At 41.1% G+C, this 27,510-nt stretch overlaps 1 protein-coding gene and 1 long non-coding RNA gene across 7 annotated transcripts, besides 4 other annotated features; one reads left to right on the top strand and one right to left on the bottom strand.

Annotated features, from left to right (window-relative positions):
* Positions 1-34: 34 nt before the first annotated feature.
* On the bottom strand, positions 35-6,634 carry RMP24 (ribonuclease MRP subunit p24). Of its 5 annotated transcripts, none has more exons than XM_005258364.6 (5): positions 6,508-6,634; positions 6,406-6,446; positions 4,218-4,417; positions 1,713-1,903; positions 35-478 (listed from the first exon to the last, which is right to left on the bottom strand). In XM_005258364.6, the coding sequence occupies exons 1-5, from the start codon at positions 6,582-6,584 to the stop codon at positions 307-309; spliced, it is 681 nt and encodes a 226-aa protein (XP_005258421.1). In that variant the 5' UTR covers positions 6,585-6,634; the 3' UTR covers positions 35-306. The 5 variants fall into 5 exon arrangements, with proteins under 5 accessions (XP_005258421.1, NP_113634.3, NP_001188404.1 ...); NM_031446.5 differs by having other exon boundaries at positions 6,406-6,428; NM_001201475.2 differs by having other exon boundaries at positions 6,406-6,634.
* Positions 5,952-6,844: an enhancer, noted in NCBI's record as "H3K27ac-H3K4me1 hESC enhancer chr18:33552432-33553324 (GRCh37/hg19 assembly coordinates)". NCBI's record gives its function as "activates a minimal SCP1, AML or CMV promoter by ChIP-STARR-seq in naive H9 embryonic stem cells {active_cell/tissue: H9 hESC(naive)}" and the evidence as "EXISTENCE:reporter gene assay evidence [ECO:0000049][PMID:30033119]".
* Positions 5,952-6,913: a biological region, named in NCBI's record as "H3K27ac-H3K4me1 hESC enhancer GRCh37_chr18:33552432-33553324".
* Positions 6,764-6,913: a silencer, noted in NCBI's record as "silent region_9401". NCBI's record gives its function as "represses an Ori minimal core promoter by ATAC-STARR-seq in GM12878 lymphoblastoid cells {active_cell/tissue: GM12878}" and the evidence as "EXISTENCE:reporter gene assay evidence [ECO:0000049][PMID:35858748]".
* Positions 6,853-7,147: a silencer, noted in NCBI's record as "tiled region #2053; K562 Repressive non-DNase unmatched - State 1:Tss". NCBI's record gives its function as "represses a minimal TATA promoter and a strong SV40 promoter by Sharpr-MPRA in K562 cells {active_cell/tissue: K562}" and the evidence as "EXISTENCE:reporter gene assay evidence [ECO:0000049][PMID:27701403]".
* Positions 6,862-27,510, top strand: LOC105372066 (uncharacterized). 2 transcript variants are annotated; one of them, NR_188032.1, is made up of 4 exons: positions 6,862-6,915; positions 13,202-13,568; positions 26,514-26,635; positions 27,276-27,510. It is a non-coding gene; the product is annotated as an uncharacterized LOC105372066 (long non-coding RNA). The 2 variants fall into 2 exon arrangements; NR_188031.1 differs by lacking the exon at positions 26,514-26,635.

The raw sequence follows: 27,510 nt of genomic DNA, 5'->3' as shown, positions 1-27,510 counted from the left end.
TGACTAAAGGAAGAAAAAACAGTAATGCCACTACTCAATGTATATATCTATCTTTATATACATACACATATATATCTATAGATATGTATCTACAAGGAACTTTCATATATTTTTTGATCCTCACAGCTGTCCTATGAGGTAGGCAGGTTTCAGGTATTCACACTAATGAGGTATTTTCCCCATAAACACTGAAGGATGCCAAGAAAAGTTTGCATTCAGATCTAGTTTCCATGTATTCAAAAAATGAATAAGAGTTTAAAAAGTTGTTTTACCAACTTTAGTTTCAGAATTGACATCAGGCATTTCTTATTTTAAAAGTCCACCCTTCAGAGAAGATAAGAAATTTCTGAAGTCCACCTTTGGAATCTTTTGGGATTCATTCTGACTAAGTAACATTTTTAGTTGAGAGAAGTGTTTCTTTGTTTTGCTGGTGTTCTTTGAGGAGCAAGTAGATACTGACTGTCCAGATGTAGGTGTTCTGAAAAGAAACAAAACCACACTTAGTTATACCAACAAATGACAATCATTTTCTACTCTTTTGTATTATGGCCATATACATGCACTGGCTATCCTCGGTGTATTATCATTTGACAAATCCCTGTTCAGTTAGATTTCCTCAGGAATTTCTGACAGAGAAAAGGGCAAGAACAAATGTTTAGGGCAAGAAAGTGTATTATGAATGGTTCAGTATTTTTTTTTTTGGAGACGGAGTCTCGCTCTGTCGCCCAGGCTGGAGTGCAGTGGCGCCATCTCAGCTCACTGCAACCTCTGCCTCCCAGGTTCAAGCAGTTCTCCCGCCTCAGCCTCCCAAATAGCTGGGACTACAGGCGCACGCCGCTACGCCTGGCTAATCTTTTGTATTTTAGTAGAGATGGGATTTCACCGTGTTGCACAGGCTGGTCTTGAACTCCTGAGCCGCCCACCTCAGCCTCCCAAAGTGCTGGGATTACAGGTGTGAGCCACCATGCCCGGCCGTGAATGGTTCAGTTTTGTTGGCACATAGGATGATTTAAGGCAAAGAAAGACAGGCAGACAGACTGGTGCCAGATAGGGCTGGAAAGCCATGCTAGAGCATTTATCCATATGCTACACAGTGATGCTTCTAATCAGAGCTATGCTCCAGAAAGATGATCACACTAAAAGAGTTTGATCCTAGAAGCAGGGAGACCCATGAGGAAAATCACTGCAGTAGTCCTGACAAATGGTGCATAAGGACCTGAACCAGAATATAGCAGCACTATGGAGAAAAAGGAGCAAAAAGATGAAAACAGGGAAGTAGGATATATAGAAATCGGTGACAAGGACCAAGGGAATAGGGATTTTTGAATGTACCTGTCATTTTAGGTCAAAATGTCCAGAAAGGTGTGTTCATTCACAGAATAAGGAACTCAGGAGGATGGACAGGTTTGAGTGGTTAGCTGTGGGGCAATGATGAACTAAGTTTTGAACATGTAGGGGACTGAAGTGGTTATATTTAGCAGGCAGCTGGAAATAGGCACAGGAGATGTTGGAAGTAGAGTAACATACCTAGAAGTCAAATGCATTGAAATGAGCATTGAAGATATGGGAGTATGTGACATTAGAAAAGGGTATGGAGGAAAAATGGCCAAGTCCTGAAATGCATGGCATATTTAGGGAGTATATATTAAACACAGGAAATTAGAAGAAAACACTTAACACTGGCAATTCAAAAACTTCATGGATTAAGATACCTGAAAACCGATGCTGGGCTCTTGCCTTTCGAGCCAGACATGTCATGATTTGGGTTTGCAGTCCTTCTCTCTGGTGTCTTCAGGCTGAGTTTACTTGTAGGAGTGGCAGGATTGCTCTTCAATGTTGACACAAAGCTTCTACTTTTACCATGATGTTTCACTGTTCTGTTGCATGTTTTACAAGTGATCAACTACCATAAAAATAAGAAATATCAGTCCCGTCATTTATCTTATAATTTAACCCCATAAACCACAGGTTCATTGAATTCTTAAATGTCAGGGACTACACCAGATACTATAGGGGTAAGTAAAATAGAGGCTGTCCTTGGGGAACTTGCAATCTAGTAGCGAGAATCAGACAAGACATTTTTTTTTTTTTGAGACGGAGTCTTGCTCTGTCCCCAGGCTGGAGTGCAGTGGCGTGATCTCAGCTCACTGCAACCTCTGCCTCCTGGGTTCAAGTGATCCTCCTGCCTCAGCCTCCCATGTAGCTGAGACCAGGCGCCTTCCACTGTGCCTGGCTAATTCTGTATTTTTAGTAGGCAGGGTTTCGCCATGTTGGCCAGCCTGGTCTTGAACTCCTGACCTCAGGCGATCCACCCGCCTCGGCCTCCCAAAATGCTGGGATTACAGGCTTGAGTCACTGTGCCCAGCCGACAAATTTTAAATGAGAAAATGTTCAATAAAAATGAATGGCTAAACATTTGTATTTAATTTAAAATAGGTTTTCAAAGATAATGAACTCTACTTTTTAAATATAAAACCATGTTTGGTGGGAATTTGGGAAGAGATGGGAGATAATACTCTTTAACATCTGGAGGAATGTTCTTTGTAACAGCAGTAAGCATTTAATATTTTTTTGCAGATGAACTTCAAGCCTCTTCCCAAAAACAACATGGCACAGTATCACTGGAAATTTAAGTAGCCCCTTCAAATCCTTAGCAATTTTGTAAACATAGGTCTAAAGTAACTTATACAACCAAATGAGTTGTTATACTCTCACACCTCTCCACTCCCATCATTAGCTCTAGAGGTTGTCTTTCTTTTCAAGATTCATTTCTCAAGAAATGGTCCATTTTCTAGCTAATTTCCTTTCTTCTACATATCTAATTGACTGTGCACAGGACTCAGCCCATGCCTCGGCAAATTAATACAAACTAGTTTAAGTGAGAAGTAGTTTGATGTTCATGAGCAGATGAAAATGCCAATGGAAGATCTGCATCTATCAAAGGTCTATGTTGCTTTACACTTTTTGGAAGGAGGCTGTATACAGGTTAAAATAAATCAGCCGGGCGTGGTGGTGGGCACCTGTAGTCCCAGCTACTCAGGAGGCTGAGGCAGGAGAATGGCGTGAACCCAGGAGGTGGGGCTTGCAGTGAACCGAGATCACGCCACTACACTCCAGCCTGGGCGACAGAGGGAGACTCCGTCTCAAAAAAAAAAAAAAAAAAAAAAAAAAAAATCAGAAAAACAAATACCTCTAGCACCTTTCTAGCTGACTTCTGATTAAAATACATTAGAATGTAAGCTTCATGAGGGCAAAACACTGCAAGATAGTGAGGCAGCATTTGCTGTCTTCCCATTTAAGAACATTTTCCAAATATGTGGCAGTAATGATTTTTGAAAAATACAATTCTCCAAGAACTAAGAAACCGAATTCCATACTCACTTCAATATTCTATCTCTTCTTTCTTTCCCTTTAACCATTCAATTTTATGACAAAGCAAAATGCACCTACCTGACCAACACTGGTAAACTCCTAAATATGACAATTTTCAATCCAAGTAATTGCTAATTATAGTCTTAGGCCAGACATAAGCTGTCATAATGTCCAGTGCCCGGCACAGTGATAGACAATAAGCAGGCACTTGAACAGTTGATAAATGTTAACATAAAATATGCAGGGATATAAAGTGTATTTGCTACTGGCCTCCATATAGTAAACCGTACGTAATCTGATTTTGGTTGTTTTATTCCATCTTATATCCCCAATATTAAATGTTGCTTGGCATATGATAGACCCTCAATAAAATGTTGAAAGAACAAAAGATGCATTCACCTTTGTTGGGCATACCTGTAAATCCACTCTGACATGGAGTGGGAGGACAGCTGAAGAAGTGACATGATACCTACATACATAACATAGTACTATCTGAAGCAAAGGAGCATTAACTGAAAAAATAATGTAGTGGTAACTGCAATTTAGGTGGAGCCATAACGGTCAGTTCAAGAAATCCGCACATTTGTGAAAAATAATGCTCAACAATGGGATCTCAAAACAATTGAGAGCTCACCATGTTTGGTTTAGGTAATCATGAAAAATAAAAGTAAGCTGTCCTTATAATGAAACACTAATCATTAGAGAAGTGTTTATGTATATATTTTGATAATCCAAATATACTACTATAAATCTCTGAGTTATACTGAGGCTGATTCTTAAACTGATTTTAAGTGAAAGAAAAGAAAATTCTAGTTTACTCATACATACTGGAACTGAAATCTTACCAATACACTTTTGGAGTCTTTGAACTTTTTCACCATTTTTGCTTCTTTAAAACTGAGTGTATAGTTTCTCGCTTCTCGATTAAGAAGTTTCTGTATTTTGGGTGTCAACCTGGCTTTGGGTTTGAGACGCACTCGAGAGTTATCCAGAACCAACAGCTGGAAACAGTATGGACACGTTTCTTCAAAAGTGCTCTTATCATCTAAAATTATACAAATGAAACTCACAATTCAGCAAATCAGAATATTTTGTTACCTCAAACTGTCAACATTTATAAAAAGTATATTGAAATTTAATATAAGCAGATACACATTAAGTAAACTCAAAATATGAAAATTTACAAAAAGATAAATTGGCAGTAATTTACCTTGCAAAATACTACAATTCCATCCATTCACTCCTTTCAGCAACAGATAGGCAAATCTCCAACCTATGCTAGCAAATCCTGTAGGCTTTAAAATATATCCTAAATCTAGCCACTTCTCATTACTTGCTACTAAGTTTTAAAAGGCTGTTATGTTTCACCAATTTTACCAATGCATTTACCACAAAATAACAAATTGCACTGCGATTTTGTTTCTTTTTTTAAATAATTAGCACAATGAATAGTATCTACTGTTGAGCACTGTGCTAAGTGCCAGGGATGCAACAGCACTTATAAAGCTAAAGACCACACTTAAACTTAGCTCTGCCAAATGTGAAACTCATTCATATTCACTAAGTGACAATTAAGAATGCCAGGCACTGTTCTAAGTGCTGGAGACACAGCAGTGAACAAAGGACAATTCACCGAGGCATACAATAAATATAACAACGTCAAATGTTAAGTGCTGGGAATAAAAAAGTAAGATAGGAGGGGGGAATAGAAGTATTGATGGAGTTACTGTAATTTTAAATAGGTGGCTAGGGAAAGCTTCATTGAGTGATATTATAGAGACCAGAGGGAAATGGAGGATTCACATGAAAGCAGATATGTGAGGCAAGAATCCCAGGCAGAGTGAAGAGTACCTGCAAAGGCCCTGAAACAGAAAAGCAAGGAGACCTAGTGTGACTGGAGTTGCGTGAAGGAAAGAGTACGTCAGAGAGGTATGCAGGTCTATGACACAGGGCCTTACAATCCTTTTAAAGGACTTTCACTTTTATTAATCCAGGAGAGAGCTGGTGATGGCCTGGAGCAGGGTAGTAGCAATGGATGTGGTGAGGAGTGGAGTGCAATGGCGCCATCTCCGCTCACTGCAACCTCCACCTCCCGGGTTCAAGAGATTCTCATGCCTCACCCTCTCGAGTAGCTGGGATTACAGGCGTGCACCACCATGCCAGGTAATTTTTTTGTATTTTTAGTAGAGACAGCGTTTCGCCATGTTGGCCAGGTTGGTCTCGAACTCCTGGCCTCAAATGATCCGCCCGCCTCTGCATCTCAAAGTGCTGGGATTACAGGGGTGAGCCACCGCTCCTGGCTGATTTTGGCTACATTTTAAAGCCAACAGGATTTGCTCGCATACTGGCCTGGGGGAGGAGAGAGAGTTAGGGAGTCAAGAATAGCTCCAAGGTTTTTGGGCTCAATAACTGTAAGGGAAGAATGGAATTATTTACTGAAATGAGAAAAACTGGAGGATCTTGTTGGGGGTTAAAGCTCAGGTTTTGGACATATTAGCTAAGTTTGAATTACTAGACATTGAAAAGAATTTGTCAAGAAGACATTCGGATATATGAGTCTAGAATTCAGAGGAGAGGTCTGCGCTGAGTATATACATTTGTAAGTCCTCAGTATATGGTATTTAAAAGCCATGAGATTGGATGAAAAACTGTCACCAAGGAAGCGAGTGTGCCTAGAAAAGAGGTCCAAGGGCTGAGTACTGGGCCACGACAATACTTAAAGCTTGGGGAGATTAGGAGGAACCAGCAAAGCAAATCGAGAAGTAATAAATGAAGAGGTGAACTACGTAATGACCTAGAAGCCAAGGGAGGAAACTATTTCAAGACTGATCAATGTGTCAAATGCCGCTAACAAAGCAAGACAAGGCACATTAAAGAATTTGGATTTTTCACGAAACCGAGACACATGCGGGCTTTGTTGTTGTTGTTTTTATGGAGGGAAGTGAGTCCATCGGCCTTATTTGAGCGTTGTGCGGAACAGAGGAAAGCGGGGCGACAAGAGCCCAAAGCACAAGAGACAGGCGTTCTTCTTACCGTGCGACGAAGTGTAGGCCCAGCTGTAAAAGAGAAAGAGACTTGTGAGGAGCAAAGGAACACCTACCCGCTCGCCTCCCGCTTCCCCTCCAGTCCTCTTACAGGAGGTAGCGGGCTTGGCCCGGGCAGCTGTCGTGCAGTCCCCGCGCTGCAGCCTCAAGGTAGTGCTTCTGTCTCATCGCCGCCGCCGCTGCCGCTGGCTCGCCGCGGGAACCAGGTGAGAAAATAGGGCGCCGGAAGTCGGCTTCCCAGCGTCCCCGTCGTTGGTGTCCGGACTCAAGCTGCTTCCGGAAACAGGCACCGTAGGCAGACAGGTTCCGGTTTCCTTCGCGTCCAGTCTGGCTTGGAGGCGTGCCCAGCCGGGAGGCGGCCCCACCCGCCCGCCGCGTCCCCGCCCCCTCAGTTCCACCCCTTGGCCTGCCGGGTCCTCTCAGGCACCCAGCGGAGTTTCGAGTCAGACTTGAGCTCGGGCGTAGCGGCTAGACCGGGCTGTGGCGATAGAGTCCAAAGGTGAGGCTCCCACCCGCCTCTCCATCTTCCTCCCGCCTCGCCTCCTCTCTGACAGCCCTTTTGTGATTGCCCTGCCGCAGCTTCGCCCTCCACATTCGCCGGGCGCGGTACTGACTGGTGCGCCGGCGGGCGGAAGCGCTGCCAGCAACGAGGCGGCCGGGAGGAGCGTCCCCAGTCCAGCCTGCCCTCCGCCTGCGTAAACGCTAGCGTTTCTCTTTTTGTAATTAAAGTGAAATTCACATAACGTAATATTGACCATTTTAAGGTGAACAATTCAGTGGCGTTTAGTAAATTTACAATGTTGTGCAAGCACCATTCTGCTATTTCCAAAATATTTCGCCGAAGGACAGCCAACTCCATGAAGCACTTACGGCCAATCCTCCTCTCCCTCCCAGGCCTTGGCAACCACCAGTCCGCTTTCTGTCTCTATGGATTTACCTATTCTGGGCATTTCATGTAAATGGAATCATACACACGACCTTTTGTGTCTGGCTTCCTTCACCTAGCATAATGTATCAGGTTCATCCACCTTGCAGCACGTATCAGTACTTCATTCGTTGTTATGGCTGAATAATATTCCATTGTATGGCGGTATCACAATGGTTTATCCATTCATCAGTTGAACGTTTGAATTGTTTCTACTTTTTGGCTGTTATGAATGAATGCCGCTGTGAACATGTGTGTACATGCATTTGTTTGAGTGCCTTTTTTCTGTTCTTCGGGGTATAATACCTAAGAGTAGATCTGCTGGGTTATGTAGTAATTCTGTGCTTAATGAGGGTTCCAGTTTCTCCGTATCCTCACCAACATTTGCTTTTCTTTTTCTTTTTTTTTTAAATCTAGCCTTCCTAGTGAGTATGATGTAGCATCTCATTGTGGTTTTGATTAACATTTCCCTGACTACTGATGCTTTTGAGCAGCTTTTCATGTGCTTGTTGGCAATTTATGTATCTTTGGCTGTTTAAGTTCTTTGCTCATTTTTTATTGGAGTTGTCTTTTTGTTGATAAGTTGTAAGGTTCTTTTAATGTGTATGTTCTGGATAGTGGACCCTTATTTAGCCTGCTTTATTTATTTATCTGAGATGGGATCTCACTCTGTTGCTCAGGCTGGAGTGCAGTCGTGTGATCACAGTTCACTGCATTCTTGAATTCCTGGGCTGGGTTAAAGGGTTCTCTTGCCTCAGCCTCCCTAGTAGCTGGGAACCAGGCACACTACCATGCGTAGGTATTGTTGTTGTTGTTGTTGTTGTTGTTATTATTATTATTATTTTGGTAGAGATGGGCGTCTCACTATATTGCCCAGGCTGGTCTTGAACTCCTGGGCTCAAGTGATCCTCCCACCTCAGCCTCCCATAGTGTTAGGATCACAGGTATGAGACACTATGCCCAGCCCATTTTTAATTTTAAAAGGGAGCTAAATTGGCTAGGCGCAGTGGCTCACGCCTGTAATTCCAGCACTTGGGGAGGGCAAAGCGGGTGGATTGCCTGATCTCAGGAGTCGGCGACCAGCCTGGGCAACACGGTGAAACCCTGTCTCTACTAAAATACAAAAATTTAGCCAGGTGTGGCGGCATGCGCCTGTAGTTCCAGCTACTTGGGAGGCTGAGGCACAGGAATCGCTTGAACCCAGGAGGCGGAGGTTGCAGTGAACCGAGATCACAGCCACTGCACTCCAGCCTGGGCGACAGAGCGAGACTCCGTCTAAAAAAAAAAAAAAAAAAAAAAAAGGCGGGAGGCGGGGGGCTAAATTATATAAAGATTTGTAAAGAGAAAGTATATATTTACATCTCTATAGGCATTTTAACTTTTTCCGAAGAAAAGTTATTTTCCCTGCTCTTCCCACCTTTCCATCCCACTTCTCTGAGGCGATCAACATGAATAATTGGGTGTCTCCTCTACCTATGTCCTTATACACTTAAGTACGTGTATAAATATGCTACCCCCCACCACTTACCACGACCACAACAAAAAGAAACAAACCAAACACACACACAAAACCAAAACCAAAAGTAAAATGTTAGTTCCTTACTGTATAACTTGTCTTTTTTCCTTAACAGCAGGCCACAGACATCTTTTCAAGTTAGTACATGCTTTTAAATAGCTGAACATATTACAAAATGTAATGAAACATAATTTAATTTATTTAATAAATAACCATATTTTATTTTCCTATTGATGTTCATTTGGAAAAAAATTCGTGCTTTGCTAGTTAATACAGTACTGGTGGTTTTATTTCTTTTGTCTGAATTCCTAAAAGATAAATTACTGGGTAGAATAATATGCACATTTTTTATATGCCAGATCATCCAGAAAAGGTTGTAGCAATTCATATTCCCAGCATCAATGACTAAGAAGGCTGGGTCAAATTAGATAGGTGAAAGGCAAATCCTCTTTTCATTTATCCCTTGATGGTTTGCATTTTCTCTTATGAAGAGAAATCTCTTGTTGGATTATCAGTTTTTAGAAGATCTTTTATTTTGGTGAAATTCACTTTCTGCTTGTCATATGTGATGCAATATTTTCTTCTTCCTTATCTTTGGCATAATTTATAACTTTTTAACATTACAAAATTTTGTATGTGATCAAACAAGTCACTCTTTTCATTATTGGATCTGGGTTTTCTGTGTGGTCTAAAAAGTCCTGCTTTGTCAAAGTTAGGCAACTAACTATTCAATTAGATTTTTTTGTTTGTTTGTTTGAGACAGAGTCTCACTCTGTTGCCAGGCTGGAGTGCAGTGGTGCGATCTTGGTTCCCTGCAACCTCCGACTCCCTGGTTCAAGCGATTCTCCTGCCTCAGCCTCCCGAGTAGCTGGGATAACAGGCATGCACCACCATGCCTAGCTAATTTTTGTATTTTTAGTAGAGACAGGGTTTCATCATGTTGGCTGGGATGGTCTCTATCTCCTGACCACATGATCCACCTGCCTTGGCCTCCCAAAGTGCTGGGATTATAGGTGTGAGCCACTGCACCTGGCTAATCAGATGTTTTTCTCATACTTTTCTAGTATGATTTCTTCCATGCACATATTTAATTGATATGAAATGTATTTTCACTTAAATGTAAGAGCATCTGACATTTTTTCAAAATGGATAGTAAGTTATACAAAAGCCCCATGCTAGGTAAACTAGTCTTTTTCCATTTGAATTGAAATAAAAATAATATGCAATGAGCACTGTATATGTGCCAGGCACTTTTCTAAGCATCTTAACGTGTATTAATTTATTTAATCCTCACAACACCACCATGGCATAGGAGAAATGCCACTACACCATATAGAAGTTCTGTTTTGTTTTGTTTTTTACATAGTTGTATCTGTTTCTAGGTCACTAATAAAGCAGAAAGAGGGAAAATGTGAAAATGAAATCCAATATGTGTGCATGTGCTGAGACCCCAGTGGCGCTAGAGGAATTAAAGACACACGCACAGAAATATAGAGGTGTGAAGTGGGAAATCAGGGGTCTCACAGCCTTCAGAGCTGAGAGCCCTGAACAGAGATTTACCCACATATTTATTAACAGCAAACCAGTCATTAGCATTGTTTCTATAGATATTAAATTAACTAAAAGTCCCCTATGGGAAAGGAAGGGATGGGCTGAATTAATTGCAGCAGGAACATGCCCTTAAGACACAGATCGCTCATGCTTTTGTTTGTGTCTTAAGAATTCCTTTAAGCGGTTTTCCGCCCTGGGCGGGCCAGGTGTTGCTTGCCCTCATTCCTGTAAACCCACAACCTTCCAGCTTGGGCGTTGGGGCCATTATGGACATGTTACAGTGCTGCTTCTTCCTTCCCACGGCTTGCAGCTGGTCTGTCCTCAGGTCCTGCTGGCTCTTCATCAGAAGTAAATCATGACTGCCCGCTTCTCTGCACCACCACAGCCACCCTCTTCTCTTGCCTGCACCCCTGCTATGGCCCTCTGCATTCGTTTCCTGCTTCCTCTTTTATCTCTCCCAGTCCAATTGAAACTGCCTTTGCAAAAATTAACAGTGAAATGATTAGCGTGAAAGAGATCTGACCTAACCAACTCCATCTTGCTTCTAACCTCTAAGCTGTCCTTGTTCATTCCCAGGAATTGGCTGAACTAATTTTGGGAGGAACTTAGTTTATAGTTTAACTTTGTAACAGCCCTTTATAGTTTGACTTTGAAATAAAGATGATATCAGCTCTTTCCCAAAACAAAACCCGTTCTTGCCTGGGGACCAGGCTGCCTTTGTAGGACTAACAAATTAGCTACAAGATTAGAAATTATGGTTTAGGAGCCATGCAGCTGGAGGCTGCAAGATTCTGATCCTCCTCAAATTGCTCCTGGGGATAATAACATCACTGTTGTAAAATCTAAGATCAGTGCTTCGTAATCTGGCTCAACCAGTTCTGTGATCCTCCACTGGAACAGAAGACAGCAAGAAAAACCCACTTTAACCCCCTATGATTTTTTTTTTTTTAAGCTCTGTTGTCCAGGCTAGAGTGCAGTGGCGTGATCTCTGCTCACTGCAACCTCCGCCTCCCAGGTTCAAGTGATTCTCCTGCCTCAGCCTCCCGAGTAGTTGGGACTACAGGCATGCACCACCATGCCCGGCTAATTTTTTAAAATTTTTGGTAGAGACGGGGTTTTGCTATGTTGGTCAGGCTGGTCTCGAACTCCTGATCTTAAATGATCTGCCCCCCTTGACCTCCCAAAGTGCTGGGATTACAGTTGTGAGCTACTGTGCCTGGCCATTAGGCCCCTGTGATTTCATCTTTGACCCAACCAAACAGCTTTCCCCACTTCCTAACCGCCTACCCACCAAATTATCCTTAAAAATCCCAATTCTTGCATTTTGGGGGATACTGACTTGAGTAATAATAAAACTCCAGCCAGCTCTGTGTGAATTAAACACTTTCTCTATTACAATTCCCCTGTCTTGATAAATTGGCTGTGTTTAGGCACAGGCAAGGAGAACCCGTTGAGCAGTTACACATTTTCCACATGGCAGACAGTGTGGCCTTCTTAAAATGTCAGTCATTGGCCAGGTGTGGTCACTCACAACTGTAAGCCCAGCACTTTGGGAGGGCAAGGTGGGTGGATCACTTGAGCCCAGGAGTTCGACACCAGCTTGAGCAACATAGGGAGACCCCGTCTCTACAAAAAATACAAAAGTTCGTTGGTCGTGGTGGCCCGCACATGTAAGTCCCAGCTATTCAAGAGGCTGAGTTGGGAGGATCACTTGATCCTGAAACACAGAGGTTGCAGTGAACCGAGATTGCTCCACTGCACTCCAGCCTGGGCAATAGAGTGAGACCCTGTCTCTATAAAAAATAATAAAATGTTAATTACTTTTTGAACATGGAATGTTCCTGCTCGGAGCCTCTCAGGGCTCCTTATTGCGCTTGGAACACCAGTGCCTCACCATGCTCTCCAGAGCCCTGTCTGGGCAGGTTGCTGTCCCCACCTCAGACTCACTTTGTCTCACCTGGCCACCGTCTCACTGCTCTTGCCACATTGGTCTTCTGTCTCCCAAACATGCCCTGCTCAGACCCACCCCAGTGCTCTTGCTGCTCTTTGCTTTGAATGAGGGTCCTTCCCATGGCTGCGTTTCCTCATCATTCCAAGGCGAGGCCTTCGTTGACTACTCCAATAAATAATTCCTCCCTGACCCCACCCAACAAGTCATTCTTTGTCCTTACTGGCTTGTATTGTTGTCACAGTAAACTTATATCTGAGATTACGTTATTTACTCATTGTTTACCTGTTCCCCTCCAGAATGAACCCCTGGCAGCTGGACTGTGTCTGTCCTGTTTGCTGTTCCATATGTGATTCCTAGCCCAGGGCCTGGACTCTATAAGGATTTGCTGAATGCATGAGTTCTTACAATGAGAGAGAGGCCCTGGGAGGCAGGCACTGTTGTCATCCCCACTTCACATGCACAGAGACTGAGGCTCAGAGAGATGGAGTCACTAGGCCAAAGCCATGCAGGTGGTGTGGGACCTGATCCAGCTCCCTCTGGCTCAGAACCCCATGCTCTTCCTACTGGTCCTCTCCTTGCCTCGTTTACCTGCTATAGACTTTCCAGCACTTCACAAGCCCTCAAGGGAAGGATGTGTTTCTGAGTCCCGGTTTCCCCAACACATTAATTTTCTCTGCATTATTTCCCTGTTCTAAAACTGGCACTAGGCGTCCATGTAAACTCCTCTGCCTAAAATATCAAGCTTTCCTGTAATTTCTTTTTAGCACCACTTCTCCTTTCTCTAGAAACCCTGTGCTTTATCTATTCCCTACCCAGGAATTATTATTTTTTTGGTTCAACAGGAAGGCAGGATGACTTCAAAGATCTGCTAGTGCACCTGGATTCTGGTTTTCTTACTATTCAGCTTCATGACCTTGAACAAACTTTACTCAGCTTGGCTGTGCCTCAGTTTAGTCATCTGGAAAGGAAGGGGATAGGACTATAACTAAATATAATTCTAGATCATTTTAAGTATCATCTGTGCACTCACGCAATATGTGCATGGAACGTGGAGGCGAGAGTACAAAAGGCATGGTGCTTGCCTATCGACATGAGGCCCCTACAACCCAGGGAAGGCCCGGTGGTCCAGGATCCAGTGCTGCTCCCCATGTGCCCATCTCACATGCTGCTCGGCACCAGCAGCCATCACCACTCCACTTCTCTCAAGAGGTAAGAAGAAGTTCTTAGAATCATTAAGACAAATTGATGCATATTTGACAAGCTAATTTTGATTTAAAAATAACTTATACCAGAGGGTCTGTTTATTTTCATTTATTTCCTTCAGAGACAGAGTCTCACTATGTTGCCCAGGCTGGTCTCAAACTGCTGGGCTCAAGTGATACTCCCTAGTAGGTGGGACTACAGGAGAGTGCACCATGCCTGGCTCCCAGTTGAGAGTCTCTTTAGAAGAATGGATTGTTGGCCGGGCGCAGTGGTGCATGCCTGTAATCCTAGCACTTTGGGAGGCCAAGGCAGGTGGATCACTTGAAGCCAGGAGTTTGAGACCAGCCTGGCCAACATGGAGAAAGCCTGTCTCTACAAAAAATACAAAAATTAGCTGGACTTGATGGGGTGCACCTGTAGTCTCAGCTACTCAGGAGGCTGAGGCAGAGAATCACTTGAACCTGGGAGGTGGAGGTTGCAGTGAGCCGAGATCATGCCACTGCACTCCAGTCTGGGCAACAGAGCAAGACTCCATCTCAAAAAAAAAAAAGAAGAAGAGGAAGAGGAGGAGGAGGAGGAAGAGGAAGAAGAAGAAGAAGAAGGAGAAGGAGAAAAAAGAAGGGAAGAAGAAAACAAAGAAGAAGGAGGAGGAGGAGGAGGAGGGAGCGTTAAACACATAAGCATGAGCATGTCAGTAATTCTGAAACAGTTGGGAATTCCTGTCACAAATATTGATGATGAAGGGGAAGAAAGAAAAGCCTGGGGAGATGTAGAAATGAACTATTCATCAATGATTTTATGATTTGGAGAAACATCAGTACTTTCTTGAGTGTCTACTCCAGCATCTGAAAGTCATCACAGCTTTTGCTCTATGTGGATGAATTTTGTCATCACACTGACTTAAATTCATCTTTGTCTGGTGTGCATGTTAGGAACTCTTTCAGTTCCACATAACTTTCACCAACTTGAGTTGGCCAAAGTCAGTCAAAAGACAACACTGCCGCTCTGTGGGTCAGGCCCGAATCCAGGCCCTAGAGCAGGCATTGTCCAGCTGAGTATAGTGGATTTTGGGTGAGAGGCAGAGGAAGCACTTGGAGTCCTGAGCAGAGCCAGGGATGAGGAAGGCCACCCCTGTGCCAGTACAGACTCAGAAGTGGGGATCAGTGCCCAGACACTTGCTCTACAGCCACCAGCCTTGTAGACTTGCTCTACTGTTGGCTGCCTGTTTTGGCTTCTGAAAGGTTTTTCTTTGTGAGATGTATACTTATGAATCATGCACTGCCTGTAGTAGTTAGGAGTTTAGTTTTCAATTTCATTCATTTTGCTCCTTAAAAATATCTTTTCATCATGGAAAATTTCAGAGGTACAAAAGTAGTAAAAACAGTGGAATGAATCCATCACCCACCCTCCATAAGTAATAAATAAATGGCCAGTCTTGTTTTGTCTGTACCTCCATCTACTCTTCCACCCACCTTCTGCCCCACTGTCTGTCTGGTTTTTTTTTTGTTTTTTTTGTTTTTTGTTTTTGTTTTTTTGAAGCAAATATGTATAGAGGTTTTTTTTGTTTGTTTTGTTTTTTGTTTTGTTTTGTTTTGTTTTGTTTTTTGAGATGGAGTCTCGCACTGTCACCCAGGCTGGAGTGCAGTGGCGTGATCTCGGCTCACTGCCAGCTCTGCCTCCCGGGTTCACGCCATTCTCCTGCTACAGCCTCCCAAGTAGCTGGGACTACAGGCACCCGCCACCACGGCCGGCCAATTTTTTTTTTTTTTGTATTTTTAGGAGAGACTGGGGTTTCACCGTGTTAGCCAGGATGGTCTCGATCTCCTGACCTCGTGATCTGCCCACCTCGGCCTCCCAAAGGGCTGGGATTACAGGCGTGAGCCACCGTGCCCGGCCCCTGTATAGAGTTTTTAGGGTAAACAAACTGAATGAGTTGTAGAAACAAACTAGAATGCTGTTGGAAAAAGGCACAGCCAAATAAAGGGTTGCCAATTTCAAATGTCCTTGGTCATATCACCCATTCCCCTAAAGCCATTTCGGTTCTTCCCCATGCCCTTATCATCCTATATCTCACCCACTGCTTCACAGAAAAACTAGAGTCCATCACAGGTATGTCATTTAGGAAGGGTCAGCAAACTACCAGAAGGGGCTCCAATCAGAGATCCGAGAAGTGGCCAGGCACGGTGGTTCACGCCTGTAATCCCAGCACTTTGGGAGGCCGAGGCAGGTGGATCAGCTGAGGTCAGGAGTTTGAGACCAGCCTGACCAACATGGAGAAACCCCATCTCTACTAAAAATTCAAAATTAGCTGGGCATGGTGGCACATGCCTATAATCCAAGCTACTCAGTAAGGCTGAGGCAGGAGAATCGCTTGAACTTGGGAGGCGGAGGTTGCGGTGAGCCAAGATCAGGCCATTGCACTCCAGCCCGGGCAACGAAAGCAAAACTCCATTTAAAAAAAAAAAAAAGAAAGAAGGAGAGAAGAGAGAGAGAGAGATAAAGAGAGAGAGATAAAGAAGAGAGAAAGAGAGAGAGAAAGAAAGGAGAAAAAGAAAAGAAAGAAAGAGAAAGGAAGGAAGGAAAGAAAGAATTCCGAGAAGTCTGTGGAGGGGGCAATCGAGACCTGGGCTGAGGGAGGTCACCAGAGACATAGGCTCCTTCAGTCTTCCTGCTCCAACATCCTTAGCATGTGGTCCCATCCTTGTGGTTGCAAGATGGCTGCTGAACCTCCAGGCATGGCATCTTTCTTCCAGGTGGAAATAAGGAAGTCCAGAAGCCTTTGCTCTTTTTCCTTTTTTCTTTTTTTTTTTTTTAGGAAGGGAAGCCTCTGATTCTTTCCCCAAATCTGAGTCACATGGCTACCTATAGCAGCAAGGGGTTCCTTGAAGGGGAGGATTTTTGCTTTTTAAGCCCCTGTTGCCTTGGTGCCTCTGTTTCTCCCTCCTGTGTCTCCATCCATGTACTGCAGTTTTGCTTCTTGCCCTGCACCTGTGTCAGCAGATGGAATAGATCTCATCCTCTATCTTACTTGGCCCTGGCAATATCAGCCATCCGTCCATCAGTTTCTGCTTGTATCTCCCTGTGCCTCTCCATCTCTGTGCTCCTGGTAATCTCTGTACAAATCCCCATCTGGTCTCTAAGTCATCATTTACATGTCTCTGCCTTTCTATGTAACTTTTTGTTTATTTTGGTTTCTTTGTCTCCTCCCTTTCTCTTTCTTTTCCCCTGCTGCCCTTTAGACTCTACTGTTAATAACTGACTGTCATACTAACCTATCTCAAAAGAAGAGGCAAGCGGGCATGCATGTGCCTCCTGATGGAAGAACACACTACCAACCATGAAGTAGTCTTGCCATTAAAATCAAACCTAAACCTGATCAAGCCTCTGAATCTAACTACCAAATGACAAAAAATGCAGAGGACAGAGGAACCTGTTAAATCAGTGGTCCCCAACATTTTTGGCACCAGGGACTGGTTTTATGGAAGACAGTTTTTCCACAGATGGGGGGCAAGGGGGTGGGTGGGAGGGGATGGTTTCAGGATGAAATTGTTCCATCTCAGATCATCAGGCATTAGATTCTCATAAGCAGCACGCAACCTAGATCCCTTGCATGTGCAGTTCACAATAGGGTTCGTGGTTTTACAAGAATCTAATGCCATGCTGATCTGACAGGAGGCAGAGCTCAGGTGATAATACTCGCCCGCTGCTCACCTCCTGCTTTGCAGCCCCTTTCCTAACAGGGCACTGACTGGTCCTGGTCAGTGGCCTGGGGATTGGGGACCCCTATGTTAAACCACACCAAAGGGATACAGTTTAGGAAAATCCAGACTGTGTGAAACTCCACATAAAAATAACTGCTTTTCTTCAACAAATAAATTGCAAAGCTTATTCTTGAAAAAAATATACAAGAATGGATAAGTACTCTCACCACAAAATGTTAACTATGTGAGGTGATGCATATGTTAATTAGCTAGATTTAGTCATTCTTCAATGTTACAATGTATATATACTTCAACGTGTGTATATATGTATATATATATATATCATGTGAATGATAAATACATATAATTTTATCTGTCAATTTAAGAAATAAATAAACATCCCTAAAAAATTGTAAAGCCAAAGAGAGAGAGAGAAACAATAAAAAGGGCTTAAAAGATCTATGACCACCCAGGCATGGTGGCTCATGCTTGTAATCTTAGCACTTTGGGAGGCTGAGGCAGGAAGATCGCTTGAGTCCAGGAGTGTGAGACCAGTTTCAGCAATATATTGAGACCCCATGTCTACAAAAAAAAAAAAAAAAAAAAAATTAGCCAGGTGTGGTGGCATGCACCTGTAGTCCCAGCTACTTGGGAGGCTGAAGTGGGAAGATTGCTTGAGCCAGGGAAGTTGAGGCTGTACTCAGCTGTGATTGCACCACTGTGCTTCAGCCTGGATGACAGAGCAAGACCCTGTTTCAAACAACAACAATAGCCCTAAAACACATAAAACATCTATCACCCATTTGCAATGTGTGGACCTTACTTGGATTCTGATTTAGACAAACTATAAAAACCATCATTTATGCTATTTATGAGACTGATGGGTAGTTGATAATACTAAGGAACCATTTTTAACTTTTTAGAGTTATCATGGTGTTTTGGCTATTTTTTATTTTATTTTATTTTATTTGTGTATTTACTTATTTTTTAGAGACATTGTCTTGCTCTGTTTCCCAGGCTGGAATCCAGCAGAATAATCATAATTCACTGCAGCCTGCAATTTCTGGGTTCAAGCAATCCCCCTGCCTCAGCCTCCCAAGTAGCTTGGACCACAGGAATGCTGCCACACCTGGCTAATTTTTAAATTTTTGTGTAGAGACAGGGTCTCGCTATGTTGCATTGGCTGGTCTCAAAGGCCTGGCCATAAGCAATCCTCTGGTCTTAGCCTCCCAAAGTGCTGGGATTATAGGCATGAGCCACCATGCCCAGCCTACGGTTATTTTTTGAAACTTGTATTTTAAAGATGTACACTGAATGTTTACAGTTGAAATAAGTTTCTGGGATGTGCTGCAAAATCATTTTGGAAGGAAAGAAAGCTGAGGGGATGAAAATAAAACTAGACTGGTATGAATTGACAATTGTTGGCAGTGAATTTGTTATATTTATTCATGTTTTATTTTAAAAACTTTATTCTGGAAAATTTCAAACATATACAAAACAAACACAATGTTATGATAAACCCTCATATATCCAACTGCCAACTTCAATAACTATCAGCATCTTGGCATTGGTTTCATCTGTACCTCTCCCTACTCCCCATTCAATTATTATAATTATTTTAGAAAGTTTTAGGTAAAATGTACCTATATTGAAATGTACATATCTTAACCGTACAAATTAAAAAATGAAAACACCCCTGTAAAGATATAGAATATTTCCATCACCCCAGAAGATAAACCACATTCTATCAAGATTTCTTTCACCTTGGAAGTTTCGCTAATATTCTTTCCTTTTGAACATCCCTTGAAGAAGCCACCACTGCCCCCTCTCTCTTTATCTCTTAACATATATTAGTTTTATCTTTCTAGAACTTCAAAAGTGGAGTAATATAGTACATACTCTTTCACATAGATTAGTTACAACTTTCTAGAACTTTACACTAATGGAAGAAAATAGTATGTACATCTTTTACCGTGAGTTTCATCCATCTTGTGTGCATCAGTAGTTTGTTCCTTTTTATTGCTGAGTAGTATTCCATTTTGTAAACATACCACATGCTGTTTATTCATTAACCTGTTGATGGACATTGGACTGTTTCCAGTTTTTGGCTATTATAAATAAAGCTGTGATAAACATTCTTATACAAGTCTTTTTGTAACCTATTTTTTCTTGGTTAAGTAACTAGGAATGGAATTTCTTAGTCAGAGGGTAGTAGCATGTTTATCTTCATTAGAAATGGCTAAATGGTTTTTCACAGAATTTGAACCATTTTGCATTCCCATCAAGAATGTATAAGAGTTCCAGTTGCTCCAAATCCTTCCCAACATTTGGTGTTGTCTGTCTTAACTTTTTTTTGTTTTTTGTTTTTTGAGACAGGGTCTCACTCAGTCATGCAGGCTGGAGTGCAGTGGGGTGATCTTGGCTCACTGCAACCTCTGCCTCCCAGGCTCAAGCTATCCTCCCACTTCAGCCTCCTGAGTAGCTGGGACTGTAGGCATGCACCACCACGCACAGCTAAATTGTCATTCTTAAATTTTAACCATTTTAGTAAGTATGGAGTAACATGTCATTGTGATTTCAATACTCATTCACCTGATAACCAATGATATTGGGCAATTTTCATGTGTTTATTGGCCATTTGTTTGACTTCTCTGTGAAGTCTTCATTCTTTTGTACATTTTTAAAAAATTGTGTTGCTTTTATGATCTAATTGTAAGTGTTCATTTTATATTCTTCATAAAAGTCTGTAGTTTGACTATCCATTTTCTTAATGGTGTCTTTTGATGAGGAGAAGTTTTTGTTTTGATGAAATCTAACTTATTACTTTTTTCTCTTATGGTTATTACTTGTCTATCCCCAGATCACAAAATATTCTCCTAGGTTTTCTTCTAAAAGCTTGAGTGTTTAAGTGTTTATATTTAGATTTATGAGCCATCTCAAATTAATTTTTGTATGGTATGAGTTATGGGAGCCCAGAACCATTATTTAAAAACCTACTTTTCCCTGTTAAATTTCTCTAGCACCTTTGTCAATAATCAACTGACCATTTAACTGCAAATTTATTTCTGGATATCCTATTCTGTTGTCTTGATCTATTTGCCTATCCTTATGTATACACCACAATGTCTTTTTTTTTTTTTTTTTGAGACAGAGTCTCACTCTGTCGCCCAGGCTGGAGTGCAGTGGTGCGATCTCTGCTCACTGCAAGCTCTGCCTCCCAGGTTCACGCCATTCTCCTGCCTCAGTCTCCCAAGTAGCTGGGACTACAGGTGCCTGCCACTGCGCCCGGCTAATTTTTTGTATTTTTAGTAGAGATGGGGTTTCACCGTGGTCTCGATCTCCTAACCGCGTGATCTGCCCGCCTCGGTCTCCCAAAGTGCCGGGATTACAGGCGTGAGCCACTACAATGTCTTAATTACTATAACTTCGTGGTAAACCTTGAAGTCAGGTAATATAAGTTCCCAGCTGACTTTATTCTACTTTTTCAAGATTGTTTTAGATATTCTAGATCTTTTGCACATCCATATGTATTTTAGAATCATCTTGTCAATTTCTAAGAAAAACCTATCGACATTGAGTTGAAACTGTAGATCAGTATGGGGAGGCATCTTAACAATATTGAATCTTTCAATCTATGAAAACGATATATTTCCATTTATTTAGGTTTTGTTTAACTTATCTCAATGATATTTTGTTATTTTCAATGTACAGGGCTTGCATATCTTTTATTGAATGTATTCAAACTTTTTCTTATGTTTTTGATGGTATGATAAATGAGATTATTTTTTAAATTCCATTTTTCCAGTTTTTTCTTTCTTTTTTTGTAGATATGTCTTAGAAGTCAACACTTTTCCAGTGTTTTCTACTAGTATATAGACATACTATTGATTTTTGTACATTGAGTTAGTTAAACTGATGTATTAGTTGGTAGGAGGAACCTAGTTTAACTGCTGTATTTGATCTAGAAGGTTTTTGTTGTTGATTCTTTAGGATTTTCTATGCCAATGATCATACCATTTTCAAATAGGAATGTATTTATTGCTTCTTTTTCAACTCCTTCCTTCCTTCCTTTCTCTCTCTCTTTCTCTCTCTCTCTTCCTCCCTCCCTCTCTCTCTTTCTTCCGTTCTTTCTTTCTCTCTTTCTTTTTTTTCTTTTTCCCTCCCTCCTTTCTCTCTTTCTTTCTCTTTTTTTCTTTCTTTCTTTCTTTCTTTCTTTCTTTCTTTCTTTCTTTCTTTCTTTCTCTTTCTTTCTTTCTTCCCTCCCTCCCTTCCTTCCTTTTTCTTTTTCCCTCCCTCCCTTCCTTTGTTCTTTTCCTGCCTTCCTGCCTTCCTGCTTCTTTCTTTTTTTTTCTTTCCTTCTTTCTTTCTTTCTTTCTTTCTTTCTTTCTTTCTTTCTTTCTCTCTTTCTTTCTTTCTTCCCTCCCTCCCTTCCTTCCTTTTTCTTTTTCCCTCCCTCCCTTCCTTTGTTCTTTTCCTGCCTTCCTGCCTTCCTGCTTCTTTCTTTTTTTTTTTTCTTTCTTTCTTTCTTTCTTTCTTTCTTTCTTTCTTTCTTTCTTTCTTTCTTTCTCTTTCTTTCTTTTTCTTTTTCCTTATTGAACTATCCAGGATGTCCAGTACAGTAGAAGCTGTAAGAATAGAGAACTTTGCCTTCTTTCCAATATTAGGGGAAAATGTTTAGCAATCAGTAGGAATTATCAGTTGTAGTTTTTTCTTTGTAGGTGCCTGCAATTAAATTAAACAAGTTGTCTTTTTTTCCTAGTTTGCTGAGAGTGAAAAACATTTTTTCATCATTAATGGGTATTGAATTTTGTCCAATGCCTTTTCTGTATCAATTGATATATTATTTTTTCCCTTTATTACGTTAATATAATGGGCTACAGATGTTGGAATTATCTGACAAAGACTTAAAGCAGGTATTATACAAATGTTCCAAGAGGCAGTCATGCACATTCTTGACATGAGTGGAAAGATAGAAAGCATCAGCAAAGAAACAGAAGATATAAAAGAGAAATAAAAGGACATTTCAGACCAGAAAAATGAAATAACTGAAGTAAAAAACTTGTTGGATGGACTTAAGAGTGGAATAGAGATGACTGAGGAGTTGGCAAACTTGAGACAGGATCAATAGAAATCATCCAGTCTGAACAACAAAGAGAATAAAGTGAAAAACAATGAACATACTTTTAGGGACCTGTACGAAAATATCAAAAGGTGAATATTCATGCCATCGGAGTAACAGAAATGGAGGAGAAAGATTGTTTGTTCTCAAAAAATATTTGGAGAGGCTGGGTGCAGTGGTTCATGCCTGTAATCCCAGCATTTTGGGAGGCCAAGGTGAGTGGTCACCTGAGTTCAGGAGTTCAAGACAAGCCTGGCCAAAATGGTGAAACCCCATCTCTACTAAAAATACAAAATTATCCTGGTGTGGTAGTGCATGCCTGTAGTCCCAGCTACTTGGGAGGGTGACGCAGAATTGCTTGAACCTAGGAGGTGGAGTTTGCAGTGAGCCAAGATTGCACCAGTGCACTCCAGCCTGGGCAACAGAGCAAGACTCCATCTCAAAATAATAATATAATAATAATAATTTCCAGAGTTTGGTGAAAGACATAAACCTACAGATTCAAGAACCTTAGCGAGCCCCAAAAGGATAAACAAAAGAAATTTGTGCCCAGAAACATCATAATCCAATTACTAGAAACTACAGACAAAGAACAATTTTGAAGGCAGCCCGAGGAAGCCTATGCATTACCTGTAAGGGGGATGAAGATTTAAATGACTGTGTTTGTTATCAGAAACCATGGAGGCAAGAAAGAAGTGACACATTTTTAAAGTGCTAAAAGAAAAGAACTGTCAATGCAGAATTCTATGTCCAGTGAAAATATATTTTGTGAATGAAGATGACATGGAGACATTCTCAGATAAAAGAAAATTATTTTTGGTGAATGTGTCATGTGCAGTTAGTTGCCAGTAAACCTGTTCAATTAATAAAGGAAGTTTTTCAGATAGAAAGGAAATGATACCAGAAAGAAACTTGGAATATCAGGAATGAAGGAAGAGTAACAGATGATAAAATTCTGGTAATATAATAACTATTCTTCTCCTGAGATGTTTAAAGTATATTTGACAGTTGAAAGCACAAATTATAGCATTACCTTATAAGATTTTAATGCATATAGATGTAATATGTAGATACCATAACATAAAAGGGGAGGGTGAATGAGTTAACATAGTGGTAAGATTTCCACCTTCCAGTTGGAGTGGTAAAATATTGATTCCAGATAGATTGTGACACTGTTCTGTATACTGTAATCCCTAGAGAAGGCATTTAAAAACCTATACCAAGAGATATAGTCAAAATCACAGTAGAAAATTAAAATGAAATTAAATAAAATTAAATAAATTATATATGTATAATTTATAAATAATAAAATAAAATGAAAATGAAAATGAAATACTAAAAAATGCTCACTTAACTAAAAACAATGCTGGAAAGGGAAAATTAGGGATAAAAAGCAAAAGGAACAGACAGGAAACAAATAATAACATGATATACCTAATTCCTGTTATTGGTAAATTTTGTTTTGTATCTTTTCTTCTTGATTAGTCTTGTGTGAAACTTCAATTTTATTAATCTTTTAAAAGACTTGCTTTTTGCTTTGTTAATTTTCTCTATTGTTTTTCTATTTTCAATTTTATCAATTTCTACATGGATCTTTATTCTTTCTTTCCTTCTACTTACTTTGTGTTTAGTTTGCTCTGCTTTTCCTGGGCTCTTAAAGTGGAATTTGGCTCATTGATTTTAAGACTCTCTCCCTTTCTAATATAATTTTTAAAGCTGCACATTGACCTCTAAACACTGGTATAGTTGCAGCACCTAAACTTTAGTCTGCTACTTTTTATTATCATTCAGTTTGAAATATTTTCTAACCCAGATATCTTATTTGACCCATATATTACTTAGAAGTGTGTAGTTTAATTTCTAAATATCTGTGGCTTTTCTAGATATATTTATTGATCTCTATTTTAATTCCTTTATGGTTAAAGAACATACACTGTAAGATTTCAATCTTTTGAAGTATACTGAGAGATATTTTATGGCCAATTTTGGTCTCTTTTAGTGAACGTACCATGTGCAATTGGAAAGAATGTATATTCTGCTATCATTGGGTATAGTGTTCTATAAATGTCAATTATGTTTAGATGGCCTATAGTAGAGTTTAGCAAACTCTTCCCATGAAGGGCCAGATAATAGACAGTTCAAGCTTTGTGAGCCATATGATCTCTTTTGCATCTCAATTCTGCAAAAGCTGCTATAAACAACCATAGACAATACATAAATGAATAGGGGTGGCTGTTTTCTAATTTTTTTTTTGAGACGGAGTCTTGCTGTCTTGCCCAGGCTGGAGTGCAGTGACACGATCTTGGCTCACTGCAACCTCCGCCTCCTGGGTTCAAGCAATTCTCCTGCCTCAGCCTCCTGAGTAGCTGGGATTACAGGTGCGTGCCACCACACCCAGCTAATTTTTGTATTTTTAGTAGAGACAGCATTTCACCATGTTGTTCAGGCTGGTCTCAAACTCCTGACCTCATGATCCACCTGCCTTGGCCTCCCAAAGTGCTGAGATTACAGGTGTGAGCCACCACGCCCAGCCTAAAATTTTATTTTTGAGATTTGTCTCATATACCATAATTCAACAATCCCTGATCTATAGTGCTTTTAAAAGATATTGTATATATTTACTGGGTTTTTTTTTTTGGTCTAGTTATTCTATCACTTTTCAAGAGCAGGGTATCAAAATCTTTCATTACGAGTATGGATTTGTTTATTTCTCTCTTTAGTTCTGCTAATTTTGCTTGTTATTTTTAAACTCTGATTTTAGTTGCATAAACATATAGTCACTTCAGATTTCTTTTATTATTAAAAACACATAACACTACTCACAAAGATTAAGAATAAAAAATTGTATTTTAAAAATACATAACATTAAATTTATTATACTAACCATTTTTAGCTGTATAGTTCAGTAGTGTTAAGTTTATTCACATTGTTGTCCAACAGTTCTCTAATACTTTTTCATCTTGCAAAAATGAAACTCAACACCTGTTAAACACTAATTCCTCCTCTCCTCCCCCCAGCCTTTGGCAACCACCTTTCTACTTTCTGTTTCTATGATTTTTGACCACTTTAGATACTTCAAATGAGTGGAATCATACAGTATTTGTCCTTTAGTGACTGGCTTATTTCACTTAGCATAATATTCTCAAGTTTCGTCCATAGTGTAGTGACAACAGGATTTTCTACTATTTTTTTTTTTTTTTGAGACAGAGTCTCACTCTATCACCCATGCTGGAGTGGAGTTGCGATTCTCCTGCCTCAGCCTCCCGAGTTGCTGGGACTACAGGTGCACGCCACCGCGCCCAGCTAATTTTTTTTTTGTATTTTTTGTGGAGATGAGGTTTCGCCGTGTTGACCAGGCTGCTCTCAAACTCCTGACCTCAGGCCATCCACCTGCCTTGGCCTCCCAAAGTGCTGGGATTACAGGCATGAGTCACCGTGCCCGGCTGGATTTTTTACTTTTTAAAGGCTACATAACATTCCACTGTATGTGTACCACATTTTCTTTAGCCATTGATCTGTTGATGGACATTTGGGTTGCTTCCACCTCTTGCATATTTTGAATAATGCTGCAATGGACAAATGGATATGTAAATATCACTTTGAGATCCTGCTTTGACGTTTTTTGGATACATACCCAGAAGTGGGGTTTGCTGGGTCATGTGGTAATTCTATTTTCAATTTTTGGAGAAACCTCTATACTGTTTTCCGTAATGGCTGCAGCATTTTACATTCCCACCAGCAGTGCACAAGGGTTCCAATTTTTCCACACCCTTGCCAACACTTGTTATTTTCTGTTCTTTTGATGATGGCGCTTCTTGTGGGTATGCAGTGATATCTCATTGTGATTTTGACTTGCATTTCTTTTATGATTAGTGATGTTGATTATCTTTTTGTATGCTTGTTGGCCACCTCAGGTTTCTTATTCTTTCTTTTTACACAGTGTATCCTTTTCTATTCTTTTACTTTCAACCTATTTATGTTTTTGCAGTTAAGAGTCATCTTTTGTGGATAATATACAACCAGGTCTTGTTTTTGGTTTGTTTTAAATCCAGTCTGACAATCTCTGTCTTTTTATTAGCATGTTTAGTGTATTTATGTTTAATATAGTCCTTTTATTTATTTATTTTGAAGACAGAGTCTTGCTCTATCCCCCAGGTGGGAGTGCAGTGGCATGATCTTGGCTCACTGCAACCTCCCCCTCCTGGGTTCAAGTGGTTCTCCTGCCTCAGCCTCTCGAGCATCTGGGATTACAGGTGTGTGCCACCACGCCCGGCTACTTTTTGTATTTTTAGTGGAGATGATGTTTCACCATGTTGGCCAGGCTGGTCTCGAACTCCTGGCCTCAAGTGATCCACGTGCCTTGGCCTCCCAAAGTGTTAGGATTACAGGCATGAGCCACTGTGCCTGGCCTAATTTTTTGTATTTTTGGTAGAGACGGGTTTTCACCATGTTGGCCAGGCTGGTTTTGAACTCCTGAGCTCAATCGATCCACCCACCCCGGCCTCCCAAAGTGCTGGGATTACAGGTCACCACACCTGGCTATATTTAATATAGTTATTGATGTTAAGCTGCGACATATTTGAGGGATCAGAGGGTAGATTCTGGTAGGCAGCTTAATGGCTACCTGAGGATGTCCACGTCCTATTCCCTGGCACCTATGAATACGTTACCTTACATGGCAAAAGAGATTTTGCAGATGTGATTAAGGTTACTGACTTAAAATGGGGAAGATTATCCTATCCTGGATAATCTAGGTGGGCCCAATCTAATCACACAAATCCTTAAAAGGGGAGAACTTTTCCAGGCTGGGTCAGAGAGATGAGATGGGAGGAAGAGGACAGATTTGAAGTGTGAGAGGAACTTGACTGATAGTTCCCGGCTTTGGTTTTGAAGATGGAGGAAGGAGGTCCCAAGCCAAGGAATGCAGCATGGGCCTCTAGAAGCTGGAATGACCCTCACCTCACGGCCAGCAAGAAATCAGGGAACTCAGTCTTACCCGAGTGAGCAGGAAATCGATTCTCCTCTGCAGCCTCTATAGAGAACACAGCCTGTCAACACCCTGATTTTGGCCCAATGAGCCCTGTACCTCCAGAAGTGTAACGTAATAAATTTGTGTTGTTTTAAGCTA

Source organism: Homo sapiens, chromosome 18, assembly GCF_000001405.40.
Source record: "Homo sapiens chromosome 18, GRCh38.p14 Primary Assembly".
NCBI classification, from domain to species: domain Eukaryota; kingdom Metazoa; phylum Chordata; class Mammalia; order Primates; family Hominidae; genus Homo; species Homo sapiens.
The sequence above is the reverse complement of the archived record's forward strand: the minus strand, read 5'-3'. Positions and strand labels throughout refer to the sequence as shown.

What these genes read in the sequence shown, in the direction of transcription:
- RMP24 (XM_005258364.6), bottom strand. Translation starts at nt 6,584, where the DNA reads ATGAGACAGAAGCACTACCTTGAGGCTGCAGCGCGGGGACTGCACGAC. An exon ending in GGCCTACACTTCGTCGCACG is followed by an intron (nt 4,418 to 6,405) that starts GTAAGAAGAACG and finishes GTATAATTTTAG; the next exon opens with ATGATAAGAGCACTTTTGAA. An exon ending in AAGACTCCAAAAGTGTATTG is followed by an intron (nt 1,904 to 4,217) that starts GTAAGATTTCAG and finishes TTTTTATGGTAG; the next exon opens with TTGATCACTTGTAAAACATG.